Source organism: Homo sapiens, chromosome 21 (assembly GCF_000001405.40).
Source record: "Homo sapiens chromosome 21, GRCh38.p14 Primary Assembly".
Lineage (NCBI taxonomy): Eukaryota > Metazoa > Chordata > Mammalia > Primates > Hominidae > Homo > Homo sapiens.
This window is the reverse complement of record NC_000021.9, coordinates 7795605-7807294: the sequence shown is the minus strand read 5'-3', so window position 1 is coordinate 7807294 and position 11690 is coordinate 7795605. Positions and strand designations below refer to the sequence as shown.

The window sequence follows — 11690 nt, the reverse complement described above, 5'->3', positions numbered from 1 at the left end:
CATTGGAATTATACTAAATTTATAGATTAATTCAGGAAGGATTGTCATCTTTATGCAGATGAGTCTTTCTACCCAAGACTAGGAAATATACTTGCATGTAGTCAAATCTTCCGTTTTGTCCCTCTGTTGTTTAGATTTTCTTTGTGTAAATTTTGTGCAACTCTTGGGTGTTCTATCTTTGGGGTTTCCTATTGTAAATGGAATCTTCTATTCAATTATATCTCAAAGATATTGTTGTTAATATAGATTCTTGGATATTGTTTTGTAAAAACATTTATTTTGTGCCCCCTGAGCTTCCTGAATTATCCTGCTCTTTCTAATGGTTTTGCAATTGATTCTCTTATTTTTTCCAATCATACAGTCAATGATTGTTTTTGCCACCTTCTTTCTAGTTTTTGTACCTCTTCCCCACTCTTGTCTAACTGAATTGGTAATTCCCCAGTGCAATACTAAATGGTGGTGGTGATAATGGGTAATTGGGTCTTATTTCTGACTAAACTGGGGTGCTTCTGTTATTTCAGCATTGAATATACATCTAATTGCTAACTTGAGATAATCACAGAGTGGATTTCCTAATATTGAACAACTCCTTCCACAAATCTTTTAATGCAGTGTTAGATCTATCAGCTAATATTGTATTTAGAATATTTACATCTATATCCATAAGTGGAGTTGGTCTGTGTTTTTCTTTTATTGTGGTTATTTGATTCTATAGTTATTGTTATGGAATCATTGACATGCAAGCTTCACAGGAATAATTTGGAAGGTTTTCTCCTTTCTCCATGCTCTCTAGAACAGTTTAAAAACATTAGTGTTTGCCAATGGCCATACTGCCCAAGGTAATTTATAGATTCAGTGGCATCCCCATCAAGCTACCAATGACTTTCTTCACAGAATTGGAAAAAACTACTTTAACGTCCATATGGAACCAAAAAAGAGCCCGCATTGCCAAGACAATTCTAAGCCAAAAGAACAAAGCTGGAGGCATCATGCTACCTGACTTCAAACTATACTACAAGGCTACAGTAACCAAAACAGCATGGTACTGGTACGAAAACAGAGACAGAACAGAACCAATGGAACAGAACAGAGCCCTTGGAAGTAATACCACACATCTACAACCACCTGATCTTTGACAAACCTGACAAAAACAAGAAATGGGGAAAGGATTCCCTATTTAATAAATGGTGTTGGGAAAACTGGCTAGCCATATGTAAAAAGCTGAAATTGGATCCCTTCTTTACACCTTATACAAAAATTAATTCAAGACGGATTAAAGACTTAAATGTCCGACCTAAAACCTAGAAGAAAACCTAGGCAATACCATTCAGGACATAGGCATGGGCAAGGACTTCACGTCTAAAACACCAAAAGCAATGGCAGCAAAAGCCAAAATTGACAAATGGGATCTAATTAAACTAAAGAGCTTCTGCACAGCAAAAGAAACTACCATCAGAGTGAACAGGCAACCTACAGAATGGGTGAAAATTTTTGCAATCTACCCACCTGACAAAGGGCTAATATCCAGAATCTACAAAGAACTTAAACAAATTTACAAGAAAAAAATCAAACAACCCCATCAAAAAGTGGGCAAAGGATATGAACAGACACTTTTCAAAAGAAGACATTTTTGCAGCCAACAGACACATGAAAAAACGCTCATCATCAATGGCCATCAGAGAAATGCAAATCAAAACCACAATGAGATACCATTTCACACCAGTTAGAAGGGCGATCATTAAAAGTCAGGAAACAACAGATGTTGGAGAGGATGTGGAGAAATAGGAACACTTTTACACTGTTGGTGGGACTGTAAAGTAGTTCAACCATTGTGGAAGACAGTGTGGCAATTCCTCAAGGATCTAGAACTAGAAATACCATTTGACCCAGCCGTCCCATTACAGGGTATATACCCAAAGGATTATAAATCATGCTGTTACAAAGACACATGCACATGTATGTTTATTGCGGCACTATTAACAATAGCAAAGACTTGGAACCAACCCAAATGTCCAGCAATGATAGACTGGATTAAGAAAATGTGGCACATATACACCGTGGAATACTAAGCAGCCATAAAAAAGGATGAGTTCATGTCCTTTGTAGGGATATGGATGCAGCTGGAAACCATCATTCTGAGCAAACTATTGAAAGGACAGAAGACCAAACACCGCATGTTCTCACTCATAGGTGGGAATTGAACAATGAGAACACTTGAACACAGAGTGGGGAACATCACACACTGGGGCCTGTCGTGGGGAGAGGGGAGGGGGAAGGGATAGCATTAGGAGATATACCTAATGTAAATGACGAGTTAATGGGTGCAGTACACCAACATGGCACACGTATACATATGTAACAAAACTGCACGTTGTACACATGTACCCTAGAACTTAAAGTATAATTAAAAATAAAAATTAAAAAAAATTAGCGTTTGCCAATCAATAAAGTTTTAATAGGATGCACTTGCAAAGCTGTTGGAACCAGATGCTTCTCTGGGTAAATGACTTTTTATCAAGGTTTTTACCATCTCTGTGATAAACGATATTTTCTGATTTTTAAAATCTCTTTGGTGGTCAGTTTTGGTAATTTATATTTTCCTAGAAAATCATCCATTTGGTCAAGATTTTGAATCTATTTGCAGAGGGATTGAGGAGTCACTCATTTGATATCCTCTGTGTCTACAATTATTTCATTCACAATTCTTATTTTGTATATTTGTTCTTTCTCCTTTGTTTCTTTATTAGGATAGTTAATGATTTTTTCATTTCTTTCTTTCTTTTTCTTCAAGGAACCAACCGCTAGATGTATTATAGATGTTTTTTTTTTCATTATTTTTGCTCTCATCTTTTCCAATTGCTTTTTTTCCCCCCTGCTTTCTTTGGGTTTATTTTGTTATTCATTTCTTAATATCATTAGGTGCTTAATTTCAAATTTTAAAGCAGCGTTACTTGGATGAAATGTACATACCATTGTAAGGGTATAGTCTGATAATTTTTTGTTAATTTATACAGTTGTGAACCATTACCACAATCCAGCATAAGAACATTTCCATCAGCCCAGAAAGCAACCTCCTGCCTGCTTGTATCAACCCTTGCCTCCGTCTCTAGCCCCTGGCAGTCACTGATCTGCTGTCTCTACAGTTTTGCTTTCTCTAGAAATGTCAAATAAATACAGTCCTACACCTTGTGGTCTTCTGTGTCTGGTTTCTTTCACTCAGAATAATGTTTCTAAGGTTCATGAAGGTTTATTGTTGAATTATTTGTAAGAATGTTGGTTTTCCATTCATAGTTAATGGACATTTGGATTCCTTCCAATTTGGTGTTATTACAAATAGGGCTGATATGAACATTATGCACAAGTCCCCTTGTGTGGACATGTATTTTTATTTTTCTTGGGTAGATACCTAGGAGTGGAATTGTTGGGTCATATAATAAGTTTAAATTTTTAAGAAAATGCCAAACTGTTTTCCAGAATAGCTGTATCATTTAACATTGCCACTGGCAAGGTATGAGAGTTTCTGTTTTTCCACATCCTTACCAGCACTCAGTATTGTCCATTTTTTTAAAATTATAGCCATTCTGGCAGGTGTGTAGTGATATATTATGGTGGTTTTAGTTCGTATTTCCTTAATGACTAAATGATGTTGAGCATCTTTTCATGTGCTGATTAGCCATTTGTATTTTTTCCTTGGTGAAACATCTGTTCAAATATTTTTCCTACATTTTACTGGGTTGTTTGTCCTCTTTTATTAAATTGTAAGACTATTTCATATATTCTGAATGAAAGTCCTTTATCAAATATATAACTTGCAATTATCATCTCCCCATCTGTGTGGCCTGTATTTTCTTTCTTTTTTTTTTTTTTTTTTTTTGAGACAGAGTCTTGCTCTGTCACCCAGGCTGGAGTTCAGTGGCGCAATCTCGGCTCACTGCAAGCTCTTCCTCCCGGGTTCACGCCATTCTCCTGCCTCAGCCTCCCGAGTAGCTGGGACTACAGGTGCCCACCACCATGCCTGGTTAATTTTTTTGTATTTTTTTAGTAGAAACGAGGTTTCACCGTGTTAGCCAGGATGGTCTCGATCTCCTGACCTCATGATCCACCCGCCTCGGCCTCCCAAAGTGCTGGGATTACGGACGTGAGTCACTGCGCCCAGCCTGCCTCCCAGGTTCAAGCGATTCTCCTGCCTCAGCCTCCTGAGTAGCTGGGATTACAGTGCACGCCACCACACTCAGCTAATTTTTTGTATTTTTAGTAGAGACAGGTTTCACCATGTTGGTCAGGCTGATCGCGAACTCCTGACCTCGAGATCTGCCTGCCTCGGCCTCCCGAAGTGCTGGGACCACAGGCCTGAGCCACCACGTCTGGCCTATTTGTTCTTTTATGCACCGAACAGTAAATTCAAATTACCTACCTCTAAACTGTTTCTTCATTTTTTTCTTACTCTCTATAAATTTTTCTTTATGAGTTTTGATGCTGGTTTATCTTCTGCATAGATAGTCATGATGTTAGCTGACCAGTGTGGATTATGAAGTATCTCCCTTTATCTTATTTAAATGCTCCCTGCATTGAATTCAACATAAATGATATTAATAGGGAGATTTCTTTTTTATGTTCGTATTTGCTTTATGCATTATGCCCATTCTTTTTGTGTCAATATAATTAAGTGATTTGTTAGTAATTGGAAAGTGACTTAGAACATGCCCAGCTCATGGTGAGTACTAATTAAGTATTTGCTAAGAATAAAAAATAAAGGCTTTTTGTATGTCCTGTATACAGAACATCATGCCAAGAGGAAACCCCCAGGAAAATTAAGTAATTACTCTTTCTTTAGTCCGGGGCAACCACAATCTGCTTTTGGTCTCAATGGATATTTTTTACCTTTTCTGGACATTTTATATCAATGAAATCATATAATTCATGTCCTTTCGCATCTGGCTTATTTCACTTAGCATAATGTTTTCAAGGGTCTTTGATGTTCTGGCAATGTACCAGCACTTCACTCCTTTTTATGGCTCAACAATATTCTACTGTATGGATAGACCATGTGTTGTTTATTGATTCATCCATTGGTAGACATGTGGGTTATTTCCACCTTTTGGTTTCCGTTAATAATCTGAACACTCATGTGCAAGTATTTCTTTGAATAGCTGTTTTCAGTTCTTTGGGGTATATACCAAGGAGTGGAAGTGGTGGATATGGCAGTTCTATGATTAATGTGCTTTTCCTCTATTTATTTTTTATTTGATTTTTATAGAGACAGGGTCTTGCTATGTTACCAAGGCTGCTCTCAAACTCCTGGGCTCAAACAGTCCTCTCACCTTGGCCTCTCGAAGTGCTGGAATTATAGGCGGGAGCCACCATGCCCAGGCTTTCTAGGATTAACGTTTTGAAGAGCCACTATATTCTCTTCCATAGCAGATGCATCATATTATATTCCCACCAGCAGTGTACTATGGCTGCTGTGGGGAAATATGACATTTCCCCACATCCTCACCAGCAAGTGTTAATTCCTTTTTATGTGTGAAGTGGTATCTCATTGTGGTTTAATTTGTGTTTCTTTCATTACTAATGATTCTGAGCATCTTTTCATGTGCTTGTTAGCCATTCATTCTGGTGATTGTTTTTAATCATACCTTCTTATAATATACTCAGTCCTTCATTTCTCAGGAAATATCTATTGATCATCTAATATAGGTGAAGATAAAAGAGGAATATTACTATTTTTTCTGCCTATCCCAACCACCTTCTCTGGCAATTCTTTCTAAAGAAGGATCTTCTCCCCAACCTCCTTATTGCTGATTTCTGCATCTTATTTCTTTTTTTATGGCTCAAATCCCAGTATTTTTTTTTTTACTGTTTATTGCTTGCTTACTTTTTTTTTGCTTCTCTTCCCACTAGATATAAGTTCCATGCGGGCAACTAATCTGTCTATCTTGTTCTGTTTGTAACCCCAGCACTTACCTAGTGCAGTATCGGACTGGCAGACAGTAAGCTTTAATAAATATTTTTAAATAAATATCTGAATGAATGAACCACAATAAGTTCAGTTTCATTCGCGATGACTCCCCTATAGGATATGCATAATAATGATAGACTTAAGGACTTATATTTATATCTACATGTGTTAGTTTTCAGAAACTGCTATCATCAATTGAGGTAGGAAGTTGAACTTGACTCCAAAGGCAGGGCGCGGATACTGGACCATATTAAGGACTAGCTAAAACAGGTACAGGGCGGAAGCACCTTTCCATGGGACACGCCCACCAGTGTGTGCCACATACTATGGAGTTCACCGGAAGTTGCGGCCCCTTTCCATGGCAACAACCCGACAACCTGGAAATTAGCACTCTTTTTCTAAAATTTTCTGCATAATCTGCCCCTTAATTTGCATATAATTAAAAGTGGGTGTAAATAGGACTACAGAACTGCCTTCGAGCTGCTACTCTGGGCACACTGCCTATGGGGTAGCCCTGCTCTGCAAAGAGCAGGACCTCTGCTGCTGCTGTCCACTGCTGCTTCAACAGAAGTTGCTGTCTAATACCACCAGCTTGCCCTTGAATTCCTTCCTGAATGAACCCAAGAACCCTCTCAGGCTACAACCCAATTTGGGGGCTTGCCTGCCCTGCATCAAAATAACCACAAACTTGGTGGATTAGAAAAACAGATATCTATTCTCTCTTAGTTCTGGAGACCAGCTCAAAATCAAAGCGTTGGCAGGACGCTACTCCCTGTGAAGGCTCTAGGGGAGGACCTTTTCTTGCCTCTCCCAACCTCTGGTGGCTCCAGGCATTCTGCGGCTTGAGGCTGCATCACTCCAATCCCTGCCTCCATCTTCACATCTTCTTCCCTGTGTCTCTTTCTTTTCCTTTTCTGTCTCTTATAAGGACATTTGCCATTGGATACAAGGTCCACTGTAATCCAGGACGATCTCACCTCAAGATTCTCACCTTACTTACTTCTGCAAGAGCCCTTATTCCAAATAAGGTCACATGCTGAGGTTCCAGGTGAACATATCTTTTAGGGAGACACCATTCAACCCACTGCACCAACTAATTAAGTTCTGCACATTCTACCTTCTAAAAATCTCTTGGATCCATCGACTTCTCTCCAGACTTGCTCCCACTCCTTCTTTCAAATACTGTCATCTCCTGCCTGGATTATGCCTGCAGCTGCCTAACTTGTTTCTCTGCCTCCAGTTCTGTGCCTGTTCAATCCACACTCTGTGATGCAGCCGGAGTGATCTAAAACAGGCGGGTTTTGTCTTTTGCTGAGCATGTGCTGCAGACCGGCTCCATCACTGGCCCCCATCTTAATGCTACAGTGATTGCCCACAGCAGGTTCCTGACTTAGGCTAGTCAGAGCCATCCCCTGGGATTTTCGTGGCTGAACAGGCAGGAAAGTACCTCTCTGCCATCTACTGGTGGAAGTGTTGCAGTGTGAGTCTGAGCACCAGGTGCCACAGCTTGTGTGCTTCTCTGCAGTCGGAGGAAATTAGGCCAACCTGCTGAGAGAGGCAGAGATGGAAGACAGGAGGGGGACAGAGAACCCTGGGGACCCTCCTTCCTGCATCCAGCCCCTTGGCTAGCCCTCCCCTTCCTCTCTCTTCCTCACATGAACCAGTAAACTCTCCCTTGTTACTAACTCTGGTTGAGATGTGGCTTTGCACTCTGGAGCATCCCGACTGTAACCATCATCCTTACAGACAAGACTCATGGGATCTGATAACCACACAGCTTTATTTCTGCCCCCACTGTTTCTTTAAATCTCTTCTGCGGGCCCCACATACACTGGAGTTTGATCTTGCCCTGCACCTATAGTCATGATAGGTTGGAAAATATAGTCTTAATTCAGTAATTAAGATGTGCAGTCTTATGTCATAAACAAAATTCTGAATTTGATTTAAGGCTGGGGCTCCTCCCTGTCCCAGCTAGGGCCTGCTGTGGGCAGGAGAACTGCAGCTGGGAGAGTGGGCAGCTCAGCTGGTATCTTCCTTTCATTGGGACTCTTCTGTTTCTGTTCCCATGCCCCAAATCCCCCAGATTTGTAAACTGTGGCTTCTGGCCGGGTGCGGTGGCTTACGCCTATAATCTCAGAACTTTGGGAGGCTGAGGTGGGTGATCACCAGAGGTCAGGAATTCAAGACCAGCCTGGCCAACATGGTGAAATCCTGACTCTACTAAAAATGCAGAAATTAGATTGGCATGGTGGCAGGCACCTGTAGTCCCAGCTACTCGGGAGGCTGAGGCAGGAGAATTGCTTGAACCTGGGAGACGGAGGTTGCAGTGAACCAAGATCACACCACTGAACTCCAGATTGGGCAACAGAGCAAGACTCCCTCAAGAAAAAAACAAAAACAAAAAACAAAAAACAAACTGTAGCTTCTGAGCTCCCCAGGACTGAAGCTAGGAAAAGGAGAGAGCTGAGGGAGCAAAACAGTCTTGTCTGTCTGTTCTGTGATGTAAACTAGCAGAGGCAAGTGTTTAGAGCTAATACCTTCCCTGTGAGCACATTCTTGAAGTCTCAGAAGACCCTGAAGCATCATATGGCCAACTGCACCAGGCCGGTGTTCAACAGCGTCCCCATGTGGCAGCTAGAAGCAATAGCACAGAGGAGTGTTCAGATGCTAGTCCTCTCTGATTGGCTGAGGAGGCCAGGCCAACCACCCTACTCATTCTGGACAAAGCCGCTTGGAGTCCTGGCCAACCCAGGAGGCTTTAAGAGGGAGGCGAATATAGGTTGTCCTGCCAGCCAGGCAGCCGAGGACGCAAGTAATTAACTGAGAGAAGAAATGAGCTGTGACAATATTTGCCCTCTTTGGCTTGGGGAGCCATTCCACAAATGTCATCATATGTTTTTTTTTGTTTTTTTTTTTTTTTTTACAGCAGAGGGATGAAGTGACTTGGCTGTAATCCCACAATTAGTAAATGATCAAGTCCCAACTGGAACATGGTTCTTCCAGTTCTAAAGGCCATGAGCTTTCCTTTGAACCTCCCTAAAGATGAGTCCCTAAATGCTGGATAAGAGAAAAATGAAGTTAAAAGGAAGGACAAAGGTGACATATAAATTAAAGATTTTAAACATATGTGATGCCTCTTTAACCTCCAGGAGAGGAAAAAGCCTCTGGAGTCTGTGCTCTTAGCCAGGAGGGGATGGATGCAGGGCATCCTTTATCTGGAGACGCAGGGCAAGGAAGAGACTCAGTTGTTCTCTGCAGGGGTCCTTTACCGTCATTTTTAATGTCTTTTTGCACTGCAGGGCATCAGAGCTGACCGATGAGGTCTGTCTCCTCTAGAAAATTCTCCTTGGAAAGAATGTCAAGTGTGGATATGAACATTTATTTGTTGACATTTTAAAAATGCCAATACTGACCCCCTGAAATGCAAAGGCACTTCTTTTCTTTTTAAAATTTCTTTTGGAGTCAAGTCCACATCATTGCCACCTTTGCTCCCAATTTAGACACCTTTCTTCGAAGCTGACTGGCTTCTCAGTGGACAAAAAAGCCATTGCCCTCTGGGAGAGTTGGGTCTTTGATGTCAAGGGGACTGCAGGATATTGGAATTTGTTCTTCCAGAACTGTAGCTCATACAAATATTTACCAGGTGAGTGGCTTTGCTTGGTTGCGTTCAGGGCAATATTTGTCCAGACTGATCAGAGGCCTAAGGAAGGAGGTATCCACAAGTCAGAAGAAAATTCTTGGCCCTCGTGCTGATACAGGTTGTTCCATTTCACTGTTATGTAAGCACAGGGGAATGACCGGAGGCGGGCGTCATCCACACAGCATAGGGAAGCAGGCAGCTGCAGGGCCCCACACTGACCATGATCCCGACCACTCCCCCTCAAGGGACGGGGACACTCTTCGTGAGATGGCACCATGTGGCCAGATATAGAATCCTTAAAAATAGTATTTGTATTTTTCTATGAATACCTTAAACTTTGTTTTCCCACCATCTATCAGGGCTTTCTACATTAAAGAAACAACAGGGAAGCCAGGTGTGGTAGCACACCTCTGTAATCCCAGCTACTCAGGAGGCCGAGCAGAAGAATCGCTTGAACCTGGGAGGCAGGGGCTGCAGTGAGCTGAGATCACACCACTGAGCTCCAGCCTGGGTGACAGAGCAGGACAAGAAAACAAGAGAAAACAAAAACAAAAACAAAAACAAGACAACAGGAAGAGGTTTATATTGAAGCAGACGATGCATGCAAAAAAGTGCCTGTGCACAAGGCTACAGCTCTATGAAGTGTCTCAAATTGAACAAACCTGTAAAACAGAATATGACCGGCACCCAGAGTTCCCCTCATGCCCTTGTCATTTACCCTTCCCTGAAAAGTATCCACTATCCTGCCTTTTAACATCAGAGATTGTTTTTGCCCAACAGGGAGAGTTTAAGGTCGTGGATATGCCTTGGCAGTAAGAGTTTATGATTTAACCTTTAGGGAAGTGATCGAGACAGTTCACCACACAGGATCCTGGGTCCAGCGTGAAGGTGACATTCAGGGTATGGAAGGAGAATGACTTTGGTGTGGATGACCCACCTCTGGCACCTATGAGCTATGGGACATTGGGCCAGTCACTTCCCTGAGCCTGAGTGTCCTCTCTTTAAATGGGGATAATACTCCTGCCTCACAGGATTCTGGGAGGTGGGAAGCATTTGACACAGATCTATTCCCTAACATCAGTGCCCCTTCAACAGGCAGACTAGACAGGACTCTCCGTGGAGGAGAATGGCTGCTCAACAAAAGGCCATCTTTCCTTCTGTCTCACGATTGTTTTGGAGCTTATGATTCCCCACATCTCATGCCAACGTCCTCCTGATCTGAATGTTAAATCTGTTGACTTCACAAATGAAACACTCTCCAAAGCCTCCACCTCTGGCACATTGGCTGCCCGGTGTGCTCTCCCTCATCTATTCAGATACCTCCCCAGAGAGCGGCTCTTCCCACACAGAGCCCCAGGCTTCTCTCCTGCCTTCTCAGGACCAAGGACATAAGATCCTGCTCATCCTTCACCTCCTTCACCACCTTCACCTCACAGATGAGGAAACTGAGGCTCACAAAGATGAGGGGGCTGGCCCAGGGTCATGCAGCAAGGATGTGGCTGGGGCCAGAGCCCTGACTCCCAGCCCTTATCACTGCCACGAGCCCCTTATTATCACGGGTCAGGTGCTCTCCCCTCCCACGTCCCACTGGCAGTGTCCAAATCCCTTGTCTGTGTGGCAGAGGGGGGATGCCATGGTCCATCCCATAGCAAGAGACAGCAGGAGCCAAATGAATCTTCAACAAAGATATCTAACAAATGGGTGCATTTATTATTGAATAGGTAATACACATACGGTTAAAAATATTTAAAGCATAAAAATATTTAGTGAGAGCTCTCCCTCCCACACCTGCCATATATCTACCTGGTTCTCTCCTCCAATAGGTAACCCCTCTTCTTAATTTCTTGGATATTCCACTGGTGTTTTAAATGCTTACAGTGGCAAAATCAGATATATATATATATGCTTCCTCTCAATTTTTGGATACATGTTAACATGCTCTCTTCTTTACCTTTTTCATAACAGCACACCTTAGAGAGCTTTATACATCAGTACATAAATAGCTTCCTCGTTCTTTTTCACAGCTGTGTAATACTCCATTGTATATGTATATTATAATTTTTTTTTTGAGATGGAGTTTCACTCTTATTG

At 42.0% G+C, this 11690-nt stretch overlaps 1 annotated feature.

The window, feature by feature from the left end:
- Nucleotides 1-11690: part of a sequence alteration artifact (region identified as an assembly artifact by the Genome Reference Consortium. This region falsely duplicates sequence located at GRCh38 chr21:34374240-34495759) that runs on past both edges of the window.